Source organism: Homo sapiens, chromosome 6 (assembly GCF_000001405.40).
Source record: "Homo sapiens chromosome 6, GRCh38.p14 Primary Assembly".
Taxonomy (NCBI): domain Eukaryota; kingdom Metazoa; phylum Chordata; class Mammalia; order Primates; family Hominidae; genus Homo; species Homo sapiens.
Genome location: NC_000006.12, coordinates 61,937,323 through 61,963,708, shown reverse-complemented (window position 1 = coordinate 61,963,708; position 26,386 = coordinate 61,937,323). Strand labels below are relative to the sequence as shown.

Genomic DNA, 26,386 nt, shown 5'->3' with positions numbered 1-26,386 from the left:
ACTGTATTAGGGAACTTTCCTTAATTTAGATTGGGTTAGGACATCATTTCCCAAAATATTATTTGGAACACTTATTTCACAGAGTGTTCTATTGGAAAAGAAAGAGTGAGAGGGCCCCTGTACTCAATTAAGTTTACAAAATGCTTTCTTCAGTGTTCCCCTTTCATAGAGTCACATCCCTAATTACCATTTAAAGACTCTGAGGAGTGCTGCAGTGAAGAAGCTAAACTTTTTCAATCCAATGTTTGCATATTTATTTGGCCAAGTAGTCCTTGTTCAGGAAGTTATCTAATTTCATCTCAACATACTTTAGAGATTGTTATATTAGAGCAATATTTCAGCTTTTGTAAAGTGAGTTAGTTCTTAAAACAGTAGCATTTCCCTCATTCTGAAATTTCTGGATCCTCAGATATTTTCTTAGACTGCTAAAATGTAATTGCTCATGTTTTCATATCATATTCCATATCATTAAATACCATAATTTATAATTACATTAAACCAGGAGTTTATCTCATGTTTAGAACATAGCCTCAGGTAACAAAACTGATATTGGAATATTATTTGCTTTGCATATATTTGTGATGGTACCCTTACTCCCTGCAATCATGTTTACTGCCATGTTTTATTTCACTATTAAATAGCAACCAGCTTATGTGGTGTTTGGTAGTGAATAAGTCTGCTGCTGTCAGTGTGAGAAATAAAAACAGAATGGCCAGCACAAATATTTAGCATTGAGACTCATTTCCTTTTAATCATACATGCTCACCAACAAAGACCTATTCACACATTTACTATCACATAAAATGTAAATGTGTTTCCCTTTTTATTAACTGAAAATCTGAGCTTCCAGAGCCGAAATCCCACATTGATAGTTGATGGAACAAAGGTTCTAAATCTGATTTGTATAAAATTCACATGATATTTTATTGTCACCCCTAGGAGTGGCCTGGCCTAGACTGTAGTCATGACTATATAATTTTTGTCAGAAAGCGAAGATGAAAATTGATAATGAAAATGATCATTTTTGACAGTTATCCTCCAGATTTATTTATCCTAATTTATTGATTGTAAGCATCTTCTAACTATAAAAAGAACTCCCCAAATTTTACAAGTTTAATGTTGAAAAAGTTAGTGGATCTTCTACAGTGTAATAGTTGTACTTTGTATTAGTTGAAAGGTCACATCCAAATTTAGTATTAAAAAAAATAACTTTGCAAAACTTTGACCCCTCCCACACATAAAAAATACAATCACTTAGAGTGTGCAGCCCATAGATTGGGAACTACTGAAATGGAGCACAGATCTACAGGCCACACATACTATTTTGTTCGTGTGTTAGAGCAGCAAGTTTTTGAGAATATTATTGGTTGTGCCCACAGTTATTGCTTCATCACAAGCTGATCAAGAGAAGTCATGTTTCTTTCTACTGAAGCAGGAGCCTAGGGAGACCAGCTTTTTAGAACCTAACCATGAACTTTCAAAGCATATCATTATACTTTTGATTAGCAACACAATAGAACTGCCATTCAACTTCTGCCAGAGATTATAAACCCACTCAGCTGCCCAATTTCTATCAAAGCTTACTTGTGAGAAATAGTGTTTATTGAAGATTGCCTGTAAGATATACTTGCCTTTAGAGCATCAATTCATTCATGCATTACCTTTCCTAGAGTATTTTTCATGGAACACAGGTTCTGGTTGGTTCTCTATTATATGTGTATATATATATATCTCCACATAAAATATGCTATTGTATTTATTATATGGTACCTACATAGTCTATTTTAAACACAGCTGCCAGAATGATCCCGTTTAAACTGTAATCCAGATCATGTCAGTCCTGTTCTTAAAGTCCAGCACTGGCTCTCTGCTTCATGCTGAGTGAAAGCTATAGAATTTATAATGGCCTTCAAGGCCCTGTATGATTTTGCCCACCCAGCAACTTCTCTTTGACCTCATGTGCCGTGGTCTTCCCTTTTTTCCCTCTGGTCACTCTAACCTTTTCACTGTACCCATGCGCAAGTCAGGCTTGCTCTCTCCTTAGGGTCTTTGAGCGAACCCTCAGTGTGAAAGCCTCCCCACAAGTCTCCATTTCAGCACTTCAGCCTTTTCAAATCTTTGTTCAAATGTCATTCTTTCAAATGAGGCCTTTCCAACAACCCTACTTAAAACATCTTGCTCCCCTTGCCAGCACTCCTCATTCCCCTTGCCCTGTAGTACTGTCTCTTTCCTTCCTTCCTTCCTTCCTCCATCTCTTTTTTTCTCTTTCTTTCTTTCTCTCTCTCTCTTCCTTCTTTCTCTTTTCTTTCTTTCTTTTTCTTTCTTCCCTTCTTTCCTTCTTTCACACTCATCACCTTCTAAACCACCTTACAAGAAGCTTAATTATTGCTGTTGTTTATTATCTATTACATTCTCCCCTACTAGAATGTACAATCCATTTTTTTATTGGATGTTTTATTCATTGACTATCATTAGAGATAAGAAAAATCCCTGGCAATAGTAAGCACTCAGTGAATAATTGTTGGCTTAATCAACGAATGAAAGTTTATTGTAAAGCTATTGTTGCAACATAGGATATATAATGCTCACTTTCTTGGGATCTCATAAGGAAAATTTCTCTCAAGTTTCTCTTTATCCATACAAGTCTCACTTCTAAGCTGTGGACTAACTTCAGTCTGGGCCAGGGAAAAAAGGCAGGGAAGAAAGTGATAAACTGAACACTACTTCAATTGTATTATAAATTCTGATTTCTACTCCCCAGTCTGCATGATGCTCTTTACTTTTTAGTGTCTTCAAATAACTGCTTCATGCACTCAGTGGGTAAAACATTGCAGAGTGTGCTCATTTCATCTTACCCTGAACGAGATACCTCATTGGAATTCTTCTACTCTTTACCTCATGAAGATTAAGCCTTTAATCTTAAAATTTGTTCTCAAATGTACATAATGTCTATCAAAAATAAATTTATGTATAGGAAGAAAAATTGATCATTTTCATGCAGGAAATTTGTTAAAATGCTTAGAATAATTTATCTGTAACTGAATTTCGAGTTTTGTTAATGGAGGCATTCTGCTTTTTGTTGAAATGTTACAAATGTGGACTTTTGTGCTTGTGCTATAAAACCCATCCCTATAAGCTAGTCATGTTTTTATTGATCTAAGGATCAATATGTTTATTGCTTCTGAAATATTTCACTTTATTTCACCACATTATTGCAGTCATACATAATTGTGATAGTTAATAATTGGTTAGTTGAGTGTAAAATTCCCCCTGCACCAATTAGATGCAATTTTTTCCTATGTTGCTTTAAAAATATACATTAGAAAAATATTTAACACTCTTATTTGTAACTGCTCCAAAAGGTTCAGGGCTCATGATTTTTTTAAAATAAATCTTTCTTAGAATTGGGCAGTTTTTGCTACTTGTCTCAATATGAGTAGAAAGAGACAGATTACTAGATTAAGGACAAGAGAATAGGTACTATAAGCCCAGGTGGAGAAGCAGGTTGTATGGTGCAGATTAGCTCAAACAGAAAATACATTAATAGGGGGTTTTAAGGTGAGTACTTTCTGAGCCCTGGGGATCATCACAGAGAGCTGTGAAGCCAAGCAAGGGCCTGAAAAGTACAGGGAAATATTTGGCGAGAAGGGACAAGATATTAAACACAAATTCTAAACTTTACATTTCATCGACTAGTCTTGATAGTGATGAAATGTTTTCTGAAACAGAAGATTCTTAATTATTTATTTTTCTAAATGAAATCAGAACCAAGCCTTGAGTCCGTTGAAAAGGAAAAACATATACCTAGCTAGAATTTAGGAGCACAGAGGCAGGGAGCCAAGAATTTCTAACAGAAGCATTTAAGCATATTTAATATCTTATTGTAGAGCTAAGATTTACTTTGTTATTAGAAATTTTCTATGAATATGGCTGCCAGTGAATGCAGACTTAACTTTGTTGTGAATCTAATATCGTATTGCATTCTACCTAACCCATAACTTAACCCATAAGTACATATTTTGCTTGTACTTGGCAGAGTCTACTTTCTATTGCATTTTATATTCTATTCTTAGTCTTGTTATATAATTAAGAATAGTAGAAGTATCAAGAAACAAGACTATATAATCTCATGAAACTCTTAATTGACTTACCTATTAACTTTTCCAATTTCCCTGCAGAAATTGTTTCTATCGATATTTTAATTTCATGTGAGCCGAATGACAGGAAGTAAAGAGATTTCAGCAGATGGTTACCACAAACTACATACTACATTTCAGAACTGGTCTACAAAATTCTGCAGCTTGGCAGTGTGTGGTGGATCATTTTACTGCCTGTTAATGCCAAAAGAAATCTGGCTGAAATGTGTGTGTTGTTCCATTTAATTTCTTCTCTGACTTTATTAAGAGCTACCAGACTTGATTTACTTGTGTTGTAAATACAGGGGGCAAGTGATGTGGTAACTAAGAGTATGCCCTTATATTTTTAACCTAAATCAATATTTTCTATTCTTAACAATCTCATCCAATAACTCCCTGTGAAGTAGAAGGCAATGTTATCTGCTGATTGTGAAGGCAGAGAAACTGGGCTGGAAACCGGGAAAGATGTGTAAAATGTTTAAACATTGTGGACAATAGAAGAAACTAGGCAAACACAAAAACATTTGAAGAACAGACGTTGTTGAAGTGACACCAGTTGAGGTTGTAGTGGCACCATTGATACTGAAGTGCATTGTTCTGCAGCATTGTCTGTCCCTCTCACTGACCACAGCAATCTAAGTATGGATACTAAGCAACAGAGATTTGGATTGACTCAGAGTGGGTTTATGTCAGGCTTGTTTGATGTAGGAATGAGGAGCCCAGAGAACTGAAGGCATTGTCAAGGGCACAGATTGAGTTATAGATCAAAGGGTCAAAGCTCAACAGAGCAGAGAATAAAGACAGAAGACAGGAGGGCTACAGCAAAAAATAAGACATTAGGTGAAATAGAGTATTTTATGTAAGATCAGGTTCTGTAAAGTAAGAATATTTAAGACAGAGTTGGCACAATTCTGTAAACAAGGCTCATGGTGTTCAAAAGTAAATATTTAAGAAGTGAAACAATTCCGAGTGATGCAAATTCAAGGGTGTGATGATTACAATGGATCACTGAAGTGGAATACAGAGAAATATCACTGTTGGTGAGAGGAAAATTATTATATCAATGAATAGTTTGTTAGAATAAACCAAATTTTACAATCACAAATGAATGAAATTACATCCAGGCAGCTTACAGACAACAGCATGAAGGGTGGCCAAATGGCTTTCTCTTCAAGGGTGTGGGCATTTTTATCCCCAAAACAGGAAAGTAATTATATGGAAGCAACATTGATGAGGAGAGGGGAACCTACTCCTCTTCTTCTTGACCCTGACAGATACAGGATATGCAGAAACAGCATGTACTAACTGGACTGCAAAGAAGCCAGGCTTCAGTTAAGAAAATGGAAATTGTGTCCACAAAGAAATTAAGAATAGAAGGGATATTGTTCTGTGTGTCTTCTGTTAAACGATAGAATGGGAGTACAGAGAACAGAGGGAAATGGTTTTGATGTCAATAGAGAAATCAGTTGCTGGATTAGAGACTAGGTCAATCAGAACTTTATGATTGAGAATAGGGGATAAAAGTGAATTATAATAATGATGATTATAGGGCAAAATTCACCCCTGATATTTCATGTAGGTTCTTTTCTATTTTCCCTAAGTGTTGGCCAGTCTGAGAAATAAAGGGACAGAGTACAAAAGAGAGAAAATTTTAAAGCTGGGTGTCCGGGGAAACATCACATGTCAGCAGGTTCCATGATGCTCCCTGAGCAGTAAAACCAGCAAGTTTTTATTAGTGATTTTCAAAAGGGGAGGGAGTGTATGAATAGGGTGTTGGTCACAGAGATCACATGTCTCACAAGGTAATAAGATATCACAAGGTAAATGGAGGCAGGGTGAGATCACAGGACCATAGGACTGGGGCAAAATTAGAATTGCTAATGAAGTTTCAGGCACACATTGTCATTGATAACATCTTATCAGGAGACAGGGTTTGAGAGCAGACAACCAGTCTGACCAAAAATTATTAGGCAGGAATTTCCTCGTCCTAATGAGCCTGGGAGCACTACGGGAGACCGGGGCTTATTTCGTCCCACAGCTATGACCGTAAAAGACAGCCACCCCCAAAGCAGCCATTTTAGAGACCTCCCCTCAGGGACGCATTCTCTTTCTCAGGGTTGTTCCTTGCTGAGAAAAAGAATTCAGCAATATTTCTCCCATTTACTTTTGAAAGAAGAGAAATATGGCTCTGTTCCACCTGGCTCACCGGCAGTCAAGAGTTTAAGGTTATCTCCCTTGTTCCCTGAACATTGCTGTTATCCTGTTCTTTTATCAAGGTGCCCAGATTTCATATTGTTCAAACACACATGCTCTACAATTTGTGCAGTTAACGCAACCATCACAGGGTCCTGAGGTGACATACATCCTCCTCAGCTAACAAAGATGACAGGATTAAGAGATTAAAGTAAGGACAGGCATAGGAAACCACAAGGGTATTGATTGGGGAAGTGATAAGTGTCCATGAAATCTTCACAATTTATGTTCAGAGATTGCAGTAAAGAAAGGTGTAAGAAATTATAAAAGTATTAATTTGGGGAACTAATAAATGTTCATGAAATCTTCACAATTTATATTCTTCTGCCACGGCTTCAGCTGGTTCCTCCGTTCGGGGTCCCTGACTTCCCACAACAGATGATGATGATGATGATGATGATGATGATGATGATGAAAACCAATAACTATGGAATGTTTGCTATGCATAAGGTGCTATTCTAAGCGACTTAACTCAGACCTTAAAAAAATCAAATGAGATATTATTTGTTTGCATTTTAAAACGTGTTTAAGGCACAGATACTTTTTGTGTTTTGGGTCTGGGTCACATAGCTTGGTATGTGGAGAAGCCAGAAAGATTGGTGGAGTTTAACTTTGTTCAGTGGCCAAGAATATAGGGGTGTGCAGAGAATGGAGAATTTACCTGGTCTCATTTTTTAAACACTAGACTGATTAACCCCTTGTGGCCTTTTCTCTGTGTATAGGTGAAGAGGGAGGGAAGGGAGATTGGTGGTGTTCTGTGATTTGTTTCCTGAGTGCTCACTGTGGCTCTGACAGTGGCTGTAATGGTTAGTATCCTGGAGAAGTAAAAAAAGATGTACTGGCTGAAGGTGTTTGAGATGACCTAATGAAGCACTACAACTGTGTCTCATGAAATCAAAGAGAAAAAAATGTTTTGTCTTCAATTTTGTCAGTGAATCATGAGATGTTTATCAGTTTACCCCCTATGATGTCTTTTAAGTGTGCTAGTTGATGGTGCACAGAAAAACCAAGTCAATAACATTGGTTCACAAGAATCAGAATTACATATGCTGGAAAATAATTACATATACTGGTGTGCTATGCTTTGAACATAAAGAGTGTCTGTTTTTTTGTTTTTGTTTTTTTTTGACAAGGAGTCTTGCTCTGTTGCCAGGCTGGAGTGCAGTGGTGCAATCTCGGCTCACTGCAGCCTGTGCCTCCCGGGTTCAAGTGATTCTCCTGCCTCAGCCTCCCCGAATAGCTGGGAATACAGACGCACACCACCACGCCCAGCTAATTTTTGTATTTTCAGTAGAGATGGGGTTTCACCATGTTGGCCAGGATGATCTCAATACGTATGAGATCTATAGCTAGACTTCTTGCATTCAAATTCTTGCTCCTTTGCTTACTAGCTGTAGCTATGGGCAAAGTTAACTTATTTGTGTCTCAGCTTCATAATCTAAAATTGAATAAGAAGAAAATGAGATAATTATAGTGCTGACCTCATAGGATCTTTCTGAGCATTGAAATACATGATTGGCACTTAAAAATACTTAGTAAATGCCAGTGGTTACATTCTCTCTCTCTGTCTGTCTACCTCTCTCTCTGTCTATATATGTATACATACATATGTGTATATATACACATATATGTATACATACATATGTGTACATATACACATATATGCATACATACATACGTGTATATACACATGTATGCATACATACATACGTGTATATACACACATGTATACATACATACATACGTGTATATATACACATGTATACATACATATGTGTATATATACACATGTATACATACATACATATGTGTATATATACACATGTATACATACATACATATGTGTATATATACACATATGTATATATACACATATGTATACATACACATACGTATGTGTATATATACACGTATATGTATACATACACATACGTATGTGTATATATACACGTATATGTATACATATATATGTATACATACATATGTGTATATATACACGTATATGTATACATATATATGTATACATACATACGTATGAGTATATTTACACGTATATGTATACATATATATGTATACATACATACGTATGTGTATATATACACATATGTATACATATATATGTATACATACAAACGTATGTGTATATACACATATGTATACATACATACACACGTATGTGTATATACATATGTATACATATATACACATATGTGTATATATACATATATGTATGCATACATACACACGTATATGTGTATACATACATATATGTATACATACATGTATGTATATATGTATGTGTGTATACATACATATGTATGTCTATATATGTATACACATACATATGTATGCGTATATATACATATATATGTATACACATACATATGTATGTGTATACATATATATGTATGCACACATATGTATGTGTATATATACATATATACACATATGTATGTGTATATACACATGCATATGTATACATACATATGCATGTGTATATACACATGCGTATGTATACATACATATGCATGTGTATATACACATATGTATGTATACATACATATGCATGTGTATATACACATATGTATGTATACATAAGTATGCATGTGTATATACACATATGTATGTATACATAAGTATGTATGTGTATATACACATATGTATGTATACATAAGTATGTATGTGTATATATACATATATATGTATACATAAGTATGTATGTGTATATATACATAAATATGTCTACATACGTATGTATGTGTATATATACATATATATGTATACATACGTATGTATGTGTATATATTCATATATATTATGCATACATACATACGCATGTGTATATACACATACGTATACATACATACATACGTATATATGTATGCATGCATACATACGTATATATGTATGCATGCATACATACGTATATATGTATGCATGCATACATACGTATATATGTATGCATACATATGTATATCTATCTATACATATATGTATATATGTATGTATATGTATATATATGTGTATATGTAGACACACGCACATTTCTATGCAGGCATACACACAGAGACACACACATTCACACACATCCCTATTGACTGAGTTATCAGACTGTAGAAAAAACCAAGACAGTCCCAGACCTTGGCAGGTGCTTCTGGAAACAATGACATACTACTGAAGCATATTTCTCAGTGTTATGCCTTGTGGCACTCTGAGATGCCTGTGGAGCCTCCCTCTGCCAGAATATTTCTCTGTTACTATTTGACAGACCTTGATTTTGTGGCAACATTGTCCTGATGTCTTGTTTATTCACTTGTCATGTTTGTATCACCATCTGTTTCCTTTTCTGGTCTCTTTTTTTCAGTCTAGAAACTTGTCATAGGTCTTCTTTAAGTTACTTACAGCTTTCTCTTCTCTCTGCTAGCTGCAAAGTTAACTGTGATATCTTGTTTAGGTTTATTTGCCTGGGGCCCATGCCCTTCCCCTCACTCTTTCTGAGTCAGCCTTTAAATTTGTTCTCTCTCAAGCTGCACTTGTATCTTCTAAGTAGGCAGAGAGGTCGTGGCACTATCTCTCTCCAACAGTGTCAGCAAATTGTTTTGATTTCTAGAGCATGGGTGGGTCATGTGCTTTTTATTTTCCCGCAGAAAAATGAATTTCATGAATATGAAAAGAGATCTTCATTTTTTATATTTTTACAACTTTGTTTCAGAGAGCTATACTTAATTGTTCTAGTAGCCTGCTTTTTCAGTCTGTGGCTGAAGGGAGCAGCTATGTCAAAATGCTAGCAATATAAAGTCTTACACAATTTAAAAAAATATAGCGATTTTCCTAAATTTCAATTTACCTTTTTCAGTTTAGATGGTTCTGAGTCAGCATGTATATCACTGCATGTAACAAGCAGAGATGGGGGAAATTTCAAAAATGCTGGCCATTCCAATCCTTATTTTTCTAGTGCTTATCAAGGACTAACTATAATTTTTACAAGTCTTGTAAGTTTTTGAAAACTCACACAAGATCGTTTGGGGTTAGAATGTATAAAGTCTTGGATGGCATCATTTAAGACAGAATTTCTTCATATTTAAAACAGAAATGATAATTGCTTCTCTACTTTTCACTGGGTCATTATAAATCTCCAGTTACCTAATATATAAGAAAGTGATTTGAAAACACTAGATAAATATAAGATTTCATTATAAATAAATTACATAACATTTTGGGGAATTCTCTAATTTGGGCCAAATATGAACAGGTATTTTTTTAACTCTGAGTTATTTTAACTTTGAGTAAGTATAATTAATATATTTAAAATGTTTACAAATATAACAAAAAGAGTAAGTTCTAAGGCATATGATTCAGAATATACAAAGAAACCATATTACAGGAACAGAGCTCCCCAAGACAGAATGTGAATGGAGAAGACAATAGAATATACACAGAGATAATGTGTGTTGTGAGTTGAAGTGTGGTAAAATGATTAGTAGGAATACTAAACTGTTTTACCCGTTTATTTTGTTTAACTTTATTAATGGCAGTTGCAAGTCATGGCAACATTTTGAGAACATGTGTAATGCACTTGACACATTAGGCTATGATAATCATGCAATCTTCATAGTTCTATTTCAAGTATGTAATGATATCCAGGTGGAAAATTGTACTTGGCTTGAAGCTACAGTGAGTGGAGTAAGGGAAGATAGATGTGAGTCATAGGATAATCCATGAGCTTATGTTAGGTTTGGGCAAATGTAATTGCAGTTTTGGCCATTGAAAATGATTGCAAAAAACCAACAATTACTTTTGCACTAACCTAATAAAAACACATCTGTATGGTACTTATTAGTTTTGAATTTATGTTCAGTGCACTCAGTGAAAAGTTCTAAATGTCCAAACTGGGAAACTAAAAAATTATCATGACAAGATTATAGAAAAAAGATTAGGTGGAAGATCCAAAAATGTTTTGTGATTCCAGTGTTCAATGTGTCAGTGGTGCATTGACACTAAAGCCATTGTCCCCAGATAAATTGTCCTTATTGTGATGCTTCTGACCTGTGTAGCTCCCAGTCTGCCTTTTCAATGTAGTTTTTAACTGAAAAGTTCTCCTAACCCACCCTTTAAAAACAATTAGTTTTATATAATTTCTTGAAAGTAAAAAATGGAACAAAGTGTTCTGCTATGTATGCTTATGCTTAGTTGTAAATAAAAATGAATTGGAAAATATTTATGCAATCTTACAAATTTTGCCTTAGTCATTATCATCAAATAAATACAGTGTCACTGATGGAGGTTACATCATTATTCTCCAGTGCAAACTTTTTAGTATAATTTCAGAATTCTGATCAACAGTTTAGCTCTTGGTCTAAGGAGTGGCTTTCTTTGATTGTACAGATAATGTTTAACTGAATTTAAACTGAAAAAATTGTAACTACAGAACCTCTCTAATGTGTCCTTTGAACTTGTCTGACAGCATGCCAACTAAAAAAAAATCTCAACAAGAGAATGAGGGATTGCTTATGGAGACACTGATGTCACTTGAGGTTAAATTATGCACCTTAACCATGGCCATAAATGGCTCTGTCAAGGTCACTTTATGGCCACTAACCCAAGATCAGTGGCTCCTGTGAGTGTTCAGTAATTTACACTGTACACTGATTTTTCTAATTCTGTCTTTGAATTCGTTAAAGTACCTTTACTGTGTGTCTAATAGATTTAAAGGAACTGCATGAGTAAGCAATCACACATGTTAGCATTCCAAGGTGTTATACAAATGCCTTAAATTATTGACCATATGTTAGGAGGCATAATCTTAAGCATCTTAAGAAATGTTTATGATAATGAAGGTAGCAATGATACTAGAATTTCTGGTACAATACTAGTAGATAAAGCTTTTAAAAATTAAAATGTACTTGTTGAATGTCAATTTAAAATGATTGGTAGATTGATAAGTATAAATTGTCCAGTTACTTTCCCATGCCCAATATATTTTAGCACCACTTTACAGTCACATGAAGAATTTCTTCTCCAAAGAGAATTTACTTCCTTTTTGCACATGGAGCCATTTGTCAATCTCAAGTCTACCTTTTTAGAGCAGCAAAGACACCTTTTCTCTAGTAATTGTCTTGGTGTGACAAATCTGCACCTTATACAGGTTCATTGACATCACACAAAGTTTCTTTCTTACTCATTCTTACCCATTTTTGAAATATTGAAAGTATTTATAGAACCATAGAATGTTCTATCTATTTCTGCATAGAACAGAACAGATATAACATGAAATTTGCAGCCAATCTCCATTCCATCTCATGCCTCATGCTTCCCTGGAAGGAAAAATATAAAAGTCATACAGCTTAGCTCTCAGCATTTATGTATGCCTGAGATATTTGTTACTTCCATCATCCCAAATTTGTACATACATTTCCTAATTATGAAAATACTAGTAGTGAGATTCTCATTTACTGTAAACATCACAGAATTTAGTACATTTCATATTTACGTTTATTAATATGTATACATAAAGAAATACAACCACACAAAAGATATGGCAATGGAACTCAGATTCTTCTCCTTCTCTGACTTGGCATTCAGCCTCACCTTAAGGAAAATGAGCTTCAGGAAAATATCACTTAAATTCCTCAGGAGATACCTCGTTTTATGCATTGTAAGTCTTGTAAAGACAAATAATCCAACTCCAGGGAAGACAATAACTTCAAAACTAGCATAGTTGAAATAAATCCATCAAGATAAGAGAATTACATGGAAAATATACATTTTCATAGCCCTCAAAATGAAGTATATTTACACAGAATCCAGAAGCATATCAACATCATTGATTCATCAGGGAAACATAAGGAAGCTCTATCTATATGAAAAAAAATCTGGAATTAAAAGTCTTGGAACATCTGGAATGTTAACTTTTAGTGAGCATTTCAACATTCTACTATCTTAATTGAGGAAATTCATTTCCTAGCATCTGTTCAGAAGGAAGTTGGTGATATCAGTAGTGATTACTATACGATCATTTACACCAAAGTAATATATTGAATTTTCAGCATCAGCACTTACTGTTAAATAGCAAGCCATTCAAGTCTTGGAGCTGTACTGTATCCAAGGAAAGAAAATTAAGATGCAACAAAATAGCATTTTCACACAGAGAGTCTTTTCCTACAGTATATCAGCTGTCACCCAATAAACTTGCCAAAGAGTGCTATTCCCAAACATACAGGAATTTTTAGTCATGCAATCCCCCACCTTCCTGTTGATTCTGTTACTAGGCTTTTTTGAAAGAAATAACAACAACCAGCTTTCAGAACTATCAGCTGTAATGAAACACCACATTTTGATTTTGAATATTGTGATAATAAACTTTTTACTGACTCAATAAAAAATTTCATTTTCAACAATTGAACTAGTGATAGCTAATATTGCCAATTTCTATTTCCAGTTTAAAACATGAGGTAAAAGAATGGGAGATAAAATAATTTATGGATGTTTTTGTTTTTAGGAAGATATATTTAGATCTATAAAATATTTATTCCTGATAATATAAATAAATTGCTGTTGATATGCATTATTCTTTTAAAATTTTGTCCAGATACTTTTATACAAATACACAAAAACAATACTATCTATAAACATAAATCTATAAATAAAATTACAATGGATAGTAAATTTAATGGATTTAGATAAAATTTCTAGTATGTCATGTATAAAAATACATTACCAACGTATTTTCCAATGTAAGAGGTAACAGGAATTTGGGGGCAAAACTTTTTGAAAAAAATAGTATATTGTTCCTGTAAACAGAGATGGATAGCCTTTAAGTTATAGCATATATGTAAAACCATATAATTGTGAAATATGTCCTGTAGCTGAAGATAAGACTGATTTCATCTCTCTTGAGACAATGTCTCTAATAAGGGAAGGTCATTCTGTTTGTTCACCATAAAAAGCATGCAACATGTAATAAAACAAGTATAGAAGTATTAGTCACCATGACTTTAGAATGCAGGAGGCTAATAAACCTCCCTATCTTTTCCTTCTGAGTTCAAAGCAGATTGAGAATCAAGTCACAAGTCAAAATAATACCAGGTTCATTTAAGATAAATTGAGTAGCTTTAAATATTCAGTCAAAAGAGGTTAATTATTCTCACCCCTACTTAAACATAATTACCACTATTCAGTGGGACAGGATGACAATCACAGCCTCTTCCATGGGGCCTGGTCCTGGATGTTTATAGCATGGGGAAGATGAGAACGATCTTTTGGAGGAAGGTTAGCTCCCAAAAGAGGGAAGGAAGAAGAGATTGAGCTGAATAGTCGAGTTTCTTCTTGTATATCAGCTAAGTTGCAGGTAGCTCCCATGGGTGGATGGAGAGAACTGAAGTATTCCGCTCGCATAACACGTGGAAATCTGAAAAGTGGGGCATAAAGGCTTTATCACATTGTTATTCTCACCATCAGCACTATCACCAAAGCCACTGATTTGTAAGGGTTTGGAATATATGAGGTATAAGCTAGGTGAAGAGGCATGTGCGTATAGTTCCAGCTACATGGGAGGCTGAGGTGGAGGATCACTTGAGGCCAGGAGTTCAAGACCAGCCTGGGCAATATAGCAAGACCTCATCTCTAAAATAATAATAATAATAATAATAATAATAATAATAATAATGTGAGAATATAGTGCTTATCAACACAATTATTTTTAACTTAACCCTCACAATGTTGCTTTATGGCAAGAATTACAATCTCATTTTATAAGAAAGGAAATTGGGTGACAGAGAATTTAGGTAACTTGCTCAGAGGTGCATAGATGGTTGGATATGCCAAACTCATTCTTTTGATTCTTAAATTATCAGGGTATCATTGCTGTAATTTAAAGAAATGACTACCCAATGGCAAAAGTATGCATTTTAAACATTGACTAAGTTTTTCTTCAGCTAAAAAAGAAAACTGTGGATTTTAAATCGTTTTCAATGCAATTATTATAGCTTAAAAATGCAATTACATAAATCACACAGATAAAATAATGAACAAATATTAAAGCAAATGAAAAGTTAGACTAAAAAGCCACTTACTTAGCTACATTCATGATTTATCTGTACAAATGTTCTGATTTTGCTTCATAGTTGGTTGAATTTTCTATAATTTCTATTTCTTATTGTCATTTGCTTTCTCGGAATGGTTTCTTTCCAAGTATCTGCTTTGCAGTATAAAATTTAAAATGCCAGGCTTCACAGGCTTTGCTTTCTCATATATTGTCCTTAGGTGAATTATTAGCAAATTGCCTTCCCTTTATGTACTCTTATGATTTATGTTATCTTTCTTCAGCTCTCCTGAACTTCATGTTCTCATGATTTGTCATTCCTCTGTTATTATTATTATTATTATTATTATTATTATTATTATTATTTTGTGTGTGTGTGGGGGTTTTGTCATGCCTCTGGTTTTTGTTCCTAACTGAAATCAAGGAGGTGCCTAACTTCCATGTGCCAGTGGTTTTCAAAGATTTTGAAATGAGGGCATAATAAGACATGCATTTCACATTATGACTCAGTATATTCATGCATATAAATATGAAGCAAATGTTTCACTATGCATATTCCTACTACTTGCATTGTGTGCTGAAAATTCACACTACTTTTTTTTCTTGTATGTCTTTATTTAAAACCCTTTTCAAAACCCACTAAGTTTATTTTGTGATCCACTAGGACCCACACTGTCCTAGAATAAAATTTTCAATTCCTCTGTCAAGGATTCTTGGCTGCAAAACCTGATACTGCATTTCCCCTTAGCCCTTCCACTTCTGTTTTTCTCCTCTTCACTAAACAACTCACTTCTTCATTAACAATATCTCTACTTCATACTACAGAACTTAATCCTACAAATATTTAGTGGGCTTTTAATATTTGTTGATACTGTGTCAGGAACTGGATCTATGAAAATGCTTGTCATTTTCTGTGCCCTGGAGTTGAGTAATGAATTGGGCAGCATCTTTAACAGTGAAATTGGATCATCTTGTGCAGTCTTTTCCAAATTATTATTTAGAGACTGTTGTGTTCTGTTGAGCTTCTCCATTGCCAATTCACATTAACTGACTGATGAGCACGAACCTCCATTTTGCAGATGTCTTATAATAGTGGTTACTGGTAGGAAATGGATGATTGTCAGCTGTCTAATGTCAATGGACAAGATGTAAAAGACAAAATTGACATATAGTTTTAGATAGATGCTTAAGATCTTCTTCATTCTTGATCTCTTTAATTGGCTGAATATATGATTCTAGAGTGAAACAAGAATACAATTTTAAAAGATGATATTTCTGTTGGATTTTTATCCATTTGCCCGCCCAAGATCCTTTTCTTTCTTTTCTTCTATAAAACAAGGAAGGACGACCGCTGAATCTTGTACGCCCTTATTTCCTAGCCTGCTGACTTAGATGGAGTATCTGAGTTGGGCCAGTGAAAGGCAATAGCAGATAGTCAGAAGAAAGAGAGAGGTCTGGATATTTCATGCATTTGTTCTATTTGCTTCAGATCAACATCCTTGGCAGTAGCTACATCTCCTTAGGACTAACTTCCATTGGCACTTCCTCCTCCATAATGCTAGCGCTCTAACAGCTATTTCCTACCCTCATCTCCTCAGTACCAGCGATGGTCATAGCTTGCCATTTTGTTAGATTCAGGATGGCTTATCCTCTCTAGCCCACACTTCTTCAAATAGCCCCTCCATTAAAATATGTTCATATGAGTCATCTGAGGTAAGTTTTTATTCTTGCCCGGATTTGACTGATACAGGACATTTTTTAACTTAAAAAGTAGGTTTGAAACATTTTAGGTGAGGCTTGACTTTAGGACAATATTCTGCACTATTTAAAAACAATTGTAAAAGAGCACTCTCCTGTACACAGGTCTAGTGCCAAGCAAGACAGCAGCATGGATGACCTAAGGCTTTATGCCATTCTATCTTTAAACTTGAAAGAGGGCAAAATGTAATTTTTAAGAGGTGGTTTTGGTGCGTTGTTAAATACATGCTATTCTTTCATTATGATATTGCTAAAAGAATGTAACCTGAGTGATTAATTCATTGTGGACCTAAGAAGTAATAAGAGGAGAGAGTAGTACACAAATATGTTTATAATGTCCAGTTGTTTCAGATGTAGAGGAGGGCATTGATTATCTGGTCTTTAAGATTTCTGAATTGCATCTTATGCCTATGCAGTTTATTTCCCAGTTCTTGTGTAGGAGGATGATGTACTTGTGTAAAAGAGATGATGCCTGCATTATCTCTCATTACTCTCTCTCTTTCAATCTCTTTCTCTGAGTTTGAGTGTGCACACACACATAAGCAAACACAATGATAAAATATTTATGTGATTTATAATGCAAGACTTACTAGTTCTTTATTTACCTGGACTGTGGCATTTTGTGTGCAATTTTAGTGTTTTTTTCTAAGTGGGAAATCATTCTTGTATGAATAAGTATTTGCTATTAATGGACATAAATGGACTTTATGTATTGATGTTACTATTTTAGGAATCCTGTCATATTTTTTTTTCATGGGTTTTTGCTTGACGGTCTCAATTATATTTATTTATATCTAAGACATTTCTATTTACTTTGAAAGGTGTTTTTGGCTTAGTTTTATATAAAAATAGTAGAAAAAAATTGAAATCAAGGAAAGATGTATAAAATTAAATCCATAAAAATCTGATTTTCAGGGAATGGAGTAGAAAACATTGCAAAAAAGTTTCTAAATAAATAAAATGTTATATTAAAATATTCCTACATGTGTTTGAATATTAAATTCAGTAAAAAATACAGATGTGGTTTAAGTTGTGCCGTTTGTATCTTGCTATGAAATATAAATAAAGCTTGTAGTAATGGAGAAACTGATACAGATGGAGAAGTGGTAATAAATTCTGCCTCTGGCTATGCTTAGCAAAATGTTTAGTACAATAAATATTAGGGCATAATTATATCTTTTTAAAAATACTGTTTATGAAAATTTTCATAAATGATCTAAATAAGGTAATCCTGTTTTATTTTCGTGAAACTTACTCATCTTAAAAATACGGTTTTAAATTATTGAGATGTTAAATGAGAGTTTTTAAATTTTTAATCATTAATAAAATCTTACTATTAAAAATAAACTTTATCAAGACAAGTCTGTGTGTATATATATATATATATATATATATATATATATATATACTTTTTTTTTTTTTTTTTTTTTTAAGACAGAGTCTCACTCTGTCTTCCGTACTGGAGTGCAGTGGCACGATCTTGGCTTACTGCAACCTCCGCCTCCCAGATTGGAGACATTCTCCTACCTCAGCCTCTCGAGTAGCTGGGATTACAGGCAAGTGTCACCACACCCGGCTTATTTTTGTATTTTTAGTAGAGATGGGGTTTCCTCATGTTGGCCAGACTGGTCTTGAGCTCCTGATCTCAGGTGATCCACCTGTCTCTGCCTCCCAAAGTGCTGGGATTTCAGGCGTGAGCCACTGCTCCCAGCCTCATATGTTTTTTACTGATACGTAATATTTTACATATTTATAGGGTCCATGTGAGTATTTTTTACATACAAGACTGTGTAATGATCAAGTCAGGGTAATTGGGGTATCCATCATATTAGCTATTTATCATTTCTATGTGTTGGCAACATTTCAAGTCCTCTCTTCTAGCTATTTTGTAATATGTTAATATATTGTTGCTTACTGCTACTCACCCTGATCTGCTATCAAATATTAGAACGCATTTCTTCTAACTGTAAGTTTGTACCTATTCACTACCACCTCTTCACTTCCCCCTCTGACCTTCACACCCTTCCCTACCTGTGGTATCTATCATTCTATTGTCTCTGAGAGATCTTTTTTTTTTTACCTTGCACATATGCATGCAAATGTAGTATTTATCCTTCTGTGCCCTGATTACTTCACTTAACATAATAACTTTCAGTTCAATATATGTTGCTACAAATGAAATGATTTCATTCTTTTATATGGACTAATAGTATTCCATTGTGTGTGTACATTTTCTTTATCCGTCTGTTCACTGATGGACACTTAGGTTGATTTCATCTTTGCTATTGTGAATAGTGCTACAATAAACGTCCAAGTTCAGATATTCCTTTGATATAATGATTCCTTTTCCTTTGGATACCCAATAGTGGGATTGCTTGATTGTATGGTAGTTCTAATTTTTGTTTTGAGAAATCTCCACAGTGTTTTCCATAGTGGTTGTACTAATTTACATTCCTACCAGTAGTGTATAAGTGTTCCCTCTTCTCCACAACCTCACCAGCATTCGTGGGTTTGTTTGTTTTTTGTCTTTTTCATAATAGCTATTCTAACAGGGATGAGTTGATACCTCATTGTGGTTTTCATTTGCATTTCCCTGATGTCTACTGATACTGAGCATTTTTTATATACCTCTTTGTCGTCACTATATCTTCTTTTGAGAAATACCTATGCTTGTCCTTTGCCCATTTTTTATAAGATTATTTGTGTGGTTCTTTTTAATAGTTGAGTTGTTTGCATTCCTTGCATAGTTTGGATATTAGTCCCTTATTGGATGCATAGTTTGCAAATATTTTCTACCATTCAATAAGTTTTCTCTTCACTATTTATTGTTTCCTTTTCTGTGCAGAAGATGTTTTGTATAACATAGTCCTATTTGACTATTTTTGTTTCAGTTATCTGTGCTATTGAGCTCTTAGCCATAAAATCTTTACTTAGATCAATGTTGTGAGGTGCTTTCCCTGTGTTTTCTTCAGTAGTTTTATAACTTTATAATGCCAGTCTGTATCTTTTAAGTGGAGAATTTAATTCATTTACATTCAAGTTTATTGATATGTGAGGTTTCTGTCATATTGCTCGTTGTTTTCTGGTTGTTTCTTATAGTCTTTGTTCCTTTTTTTCTTTTCATTGTCTATCACTTTGGTTTGGTGGTTTTTTTAATGGTGTCATTTGAGTCCATTCTCTTTGGTATTTGTCTGTTTGCTTTACCGTACTTTCATATGCTTCCATGATGGTAAACATTGTTTGTTTTCCTCCAGGTGTAGGACTCCCTTAAGCATTTTTGCTAGGTCTGCTTTATGATGAAGAATTCCCTGGGAAAGATTATTTCTCATTAATTTATGGAGGATAATTTTGCTGGATATATTATCCTTGGCTATCAGGTTTTATTTCTTTCTTTCTTTTCTTTTTTCTTTTCTTTCTTTCTTCCTTTCTTTCTTTCCTTTTTTCTTTTCTTTCCTTCCTTCCTTCCTTTCCCTCCCTTCCTTCTTTCCTTCCTTCCTTCCTTTCTCTCTCTCTCTCTTTCTTTCTTTCTTCCCTACCTCCCCCTCCCTCCCTCTCTCTCTCCTCTTTCTTTCTTTCTTTTTCTTTTTCTTTCCTTCTTTCCAACATATCTTCCCATTCTCTCATGGCCTATAAGGTTTCTGCTGAGAAATCCAGTTAGTCTGATTGGGGTTTCCTTATAGGTAACTAAATGCTTTTATCTTTCTGTTTTTATAATTCTCTCTTTGTTTTTCACTTTAAGCAGTTTGACTTCAAGATGCTGTAGAGAGGACCTCTTTATACATTTCTGGGGATCTCAGAGCCTTCTGTATATGGATTTCTAAATTTCTCGCTAGACTTGGAAATGCTTCATGTATTATTTTGTTAAATAGGTTTTCTTTCCCTTTTGTTCTCTCCTTGCATTCTGGGACTTTGATAATTCAAATATTGGGTTGCTTCATGGTGTCCCATATGTTATGAAGCCTTTGCTTTTTCTTTTTTATTCTTTATTTTTGCCTCATTGGGTTATTTCAAAAGATCTGTCTTCAAGTTTTAACATTCATTTTCTGCTTAATCTAGTGTATTATTGAAGTTTTTGAAAGTATTTTTTTTCCTTCATTTCATTCTTCAGTTGCAGAATTTTTGTTTTGTTCTTTTTATGATATTTATCTTTTTGGTAAATTTCTCATTCATATCTAAAGTTATTTTTCTGATTTCTTTGTATTAATTCTCAAGATTGTCTTATATATAATTGAGCATATCTAGAATCTGTAATTTTAATTCTGGCCAAGTGTGATGGCTCACACCTATATTATCAGCACTTTGGGAGCCTGAGGCAGAAGAGGATCACTTGAGGCCAAGAGTTCAAGACATGTCTGGGCAACATACCAAGACTCTGTCTCTACATTTTTCTTTTTTTTAATTGGGTAGGTGTGGTGTGCTTATAGTCCTAGCTACTCAGGAGGCTGAGGTGGAAGGATTGATTGAGCCCAGGAGTTCAAGGCAACAGCATGCTATTACATACCAACTGCACTCCAGCCTGGGTCACAGAACAAGTCCCAATAATAATAATAATACAATAATAATAATAATTTGGATTCTTTTTCTGGAATGTTTTGAATTTCTTTTTCATTAGGATCTTTTGCTGGAGTATTATTATGTTCGTTGGAGGTGCCATGTTCCCTTGCTTTTTTATGTTTTCTTTATGCTTATGTTGACATCTGCACATCTGGTGTAACAGTTGCTTCTTCCAGTTTTTAAATTTGCTTTAATAGCAGAACACTTTTTCCTAAAGATGTATCTACGGTGTTGGTTATGTAGGACACTTTGGCTTTGATTCTGTGTCCATGCAGTAATGTAGTCTCTGTATCATTCCTTCAGCTGTGAACAGCATCCACGGTCTCTGATTTTCTTGGTGGCTTAGGGAGCAGTTATTGGTGGAGGCTGTGGTAAAGTTTTCCTGCGGACTGCAGCACCAGGTTAGATCAGTCTTCAGGCCCTAGTGGTGGAGGTGGTGGGTTAAGCATGTCTGTCTTTGGGCTGCAGGGTAGTATATGCTGGCACTGGTGTTAATGGGTCCAGTTTGGCCTATTCTTAGGCCTCTGGGTGGCTTACTCAGATGCTAATAATGGCAGTAATGTAGCGGGTGGGTGGGCAGGTTCTTGGGGCCCCAGCCAACTGACATGGAATTAGCAATGTCATTGTCAGTGGCAGGATAGCCCTCTGAATTCTGAGTGCTGTGTGCTGGTGTTGGTGGTGACTGTAATGTAATGTGCAGGCCAGTCTCCATGCCAACAGGTAGCACATGAAGGTAGGTGCCAGCTATGGTGTGTATGCCCAACCTCAGGTCCCCCTGGAGAAGGTTCAGATGCCAATGATTATTGACTCAGCTCGGCAATCCCCTTGTCCCCAGGCTGCATGCCCTGGCACAGGGCTATGGCAAAGCCAAGCTGGGCGGGCTTGTTCTCAGGCCCCCAATTGTAAATGAAGATGCCAGCCATGGTAGGCAGGAGGACAACCCCCAGCCACTGGTGAAATGTTTGGGAGAGGGTGGCAACAGCCTAACTGCTTCCCTGCAAATGGGAAAGGCAGTGCTGTTTTTGGTGTTGAACATCCTAGGCCAGCAGGTGAGGAGATGCCCCATACTCACGACTCAGCCCTGGCAGTTCTCAAGCCTCAGGCCCTGCTGCAGTAGCTGGCAGTTTGCTCATGCCTAAGCCTCAACAGCAATAGTCCATGCTTGGATCACATCTCAGCCCCTGGTATGTTAGCCCATGATCACTTGCACCTAAGCTTCAGGTTGCTACCTTGGAAGTAGAAGCCACTCTTATATTGCATCTCAGACCTGGCATCACTGGGCTCCAGGACAGTGTGCAGTCCATTGGGTGCAGGGCTCTAAAATGGTACCTTGCTATAGCTGATTGAGCTTCTTTAGAATCAATAATTTGAATTCTGACCAGGAGTGGTGACTCACACCTGTAATTTAAGCACTTTGAGAGGCCAAGTTGGGAAGATAGCTTGAGGCCAAGTCTCATGGAGCATGTGGGACCCAGCACAACCACCCTCCACTCCCTGGAGCAGTTCCATTGCACAATCTCCTGGAAGTTCCCTATGTTAGTTGTAGGGCCGGCGAGGATTGAGGATTGCAGTGCTCTTCCATGGCTAGGATTGCAGGAGTCCATGGTGGGAATATGGACCACTGACTTACCTTTTCCCCATATTGGGAAGTGTCTCTTGGCTTCCAGCTGATCTCCTTGTTCCATATAGGTTTTTAATGTGGGCAATATATTCTTTTTTTTTTTTGAACTTTTATTTACCACTACACTATTTTCAAAGACCTTTTAACTGCAATTTATATATTTCTGATATCAAACATTTTGTTGTTCCGTTAAATATATTTTAATTAGTAGTTATCTTTATCTTTGATAAATAATAAAATTAACATTATTTATCTTAAAAGCTTATACATTTGAATATGTGAATGGAGTTTTCCCAATAATGAATTCTTATGTTTCTCTTTTTACTTAATATCATCATGAGCAGCATCATTTATGGCTAATAATATGGGTTTAGAAAAAGTAACAAGAAAAAAAGGGTACATTTATTTTATGAATTGAATATCAGAAGAACAAAACATTCTGCTCTAATGTGTATACTAGGAAAAGTATTAGAATACTTCTGAATTGATTGATAGGAAATCTATAATTTTGCATCTCCATAGCCTTCAACCGCTTTTGTCTTCCTTTCAATGTCTAATGAACCAGTATGTACTTTGGTTTCTTTCCAGAGTTTTATAATTCACATTGAATAATTCTATCATGCTGATTCTTCAAAGAAAGGCTGTTCTTGGAGTCTAAAATTCAGCTTCATTTATAAATGTAAAAGCAGGAAATAATGTGTAAGGAGGATAATTTACGGTCATACCCACTTCTTCTTCATCCAAGTTCCTTAATTTCCAAATTTCTATGACATTAGGTAACAATAAATCTGTTTTTTTTACCCATTGTTCATTTATAGAAAAAGTATTCACTAAAATTCTACTGCTGACAAGCACTAGTGATGCAAAATATCTGTGAAAAAAAACTTTCAAAGATCCTTGGGCTGATGGAGCCTACATTTGAGGAATTACAGGGGGTAAGCAGAAAATTAAAAATAACCATAAAAATAATTAATTTCGAATTTGAAATAAGAGTAAGAAATTGTGATGTTGATAAGTACAATGGTAAAAATAGAGCAGGTTACAGTGGATTGTTTAATGTCCCAAATCGACTGAATACTTGAATGTGTCTATACATAACTATGTTAAGCATGTATTTTATTTCCTTAAGAAAACAGCTGTGAGAGCAAAGTCCATTACATCGATGTGTATTAGATTTCACAACTTCAGCATAATTAACATTTCAGGCCAGATAATTTTTGGTGTGGGGTCCACCCAGTGCACTGTAGGCTATGTTAGCAGCATCTTTTACCTCTAGCCATTAGGTACCAGTAGCACACCCTCCTCCTACCAGTGTGACAATCAAAAATGTCTCTGAATGATGATAAATATCTCTAAAGAGGCAAATAGCCTCCACTGAAGAACCACTGATGAACATGAATAGGAGAGCTCTTTTCAGAATTTTTTTCTAGAAAAAAAAATGTACTGCCCTTGAGGAGGACACTTGGTGCAACATCTTTATATTTGCACTGCCAGCCAGAAACTATAGAACCACGAGATCAACAATTTTGCTTTTTTCTCTTTATAGAATCCCCTCTTACTATTTCCATTTTTTCTTCTGGATTTTCTCAAAGAGACACCAAACCTTTTGTGGACAAAAGGAGATGTAAATACATTAAACTGCCTCTGTTGGTTTTCCTTTGTTTTCCACTCCCCTTAGCAATCTACTAGTCTGAGCCTTCATCCTTTTAGAACTGAGTTACTGCCATGCCTTCCTTTCACAGTTCTCTCATGCCATGATGTAGAACACTACCAGAGTAACCTTCTCAGAGCAATTATTTCACCCTATAACATTCTTACATAAAATATTCTCAATAAACAAAGTTCAAAAATCTGAAAAATAAAGTACTTTAGAATTTACTCTCCAATGTGGTTGACCTGCTCAAGGCCAGTGATATAATCATGATTGTCTCAAAATACTTTGCTCATCCTCATCTTTATAGCATATCCTGTTTCTTTTAACTGGAAACACTTCCTAACTCTATGGCTTTCCTAAATCTATACGTTTTTCTAGCAAGTTAAGATTTCTAACTATTCCATGAAACCTTTTTATGTTGTTGTTGTTGTCATTTGCAACTCTCCTGAATACACACTGATCTTATGTTAGCACATTTTATATTTTTGAAAAATGTGTTTTCTCTCATTTAGACCACCAACAGATTGTAAACCCCTTGAAGAGCGATATTGAGACTTATATTTATATTTATATTTATGCCTAGACTCCAGTGCTGTAAACCCAAAAGGTAGACAATAAATGATTAGTGGTTTGTGTTGATTGCTTGGGGCTGTAGAAGGTGTCCTGGAGCTTCTGGTTAAGATGGTGAAATTAGCTGACATGGACCTAAGAAACAACTCCTATTACCCAATTCACATACAAATACTAGACTGAAAAATTTGAGGTAATAAAAATGGAAAGTAAGACAATGAAATCTTCACGTGCCAGAAATTAAGAGGAAATTTACAGCAGTGCCTAGGAGTGGACCCATGTAACTCATGGGTATAAAGCTGTCCCTATATAAGCCTTAAAGGATAGAGTTTAATTCTGTTTAGAGGTCAGAATAAAGACCATAGGCTTCTTGTATCTAAGAGTTACTAATCCTGATCTTCCTTTATAAATCTAATTATAGGATAAAGGAGGTCCTAATGAAAAACTTCAGCCTGCTGGCGCAAGGCTGTAAGTACAGAGTCAAATGAAATGACTGATTTTCAGCCTTATAACACAAATAGGTGTGTGACCTAAATTCCTGCCCGATACTCATATAGTAGAAGTTTTCAAAGAAGAAATTAACAAAATCCCCCAAGAAGTTCAATAAACATAAGACACATCAGACCAAAGATAAGTCAACAATAAAATATTACAAAACACATGAGGAAATAGGAAGCCTAGTGACGTTGTGTAGTAGTTAGAAATAACAACTAGAAGAGTAGTAGAAGTATCTTCTATGTACAAGAAGAATTTAAATAAATTTTAAAATAAGAATATCTGATATGGTTGAATAAATGAAA

General features: G+C 35.1%; 1 protein-coding gene across 7 annotated transcripts in view, besides 1 other annotated feature; it reads left to right on the top strand.

Moving 5' to 3' along the window:
- KHDRBS2 (KH RNA binding domain containing, signal transduction associated 2) overlaps positions 1 to 26,386 on the top strand; it is a 743,556-nt gene that overhangs the window by 322,517 nt on the left and 394,653 nt on the right. The window lies entirely within an intron of this gene.
- Positions 22,202 to 22,701: an enhancer, noted in NCBI's record as "H3K4me1 hESC enhancer chr6:62650913-62651412 (GRCh37/hg19 assembly coordinates)". NCBI's record gives its function as "activates a minimal SCP1, AML or CMV promoter by ChIP-STARR-seq in naive H9 embryonic stem cells {active_cell/tissue: H9 hESC(naive)}" and the evidence as "EXISTENCE:reporter gene assay evidence [ECO:0000049][PMID:30033119]".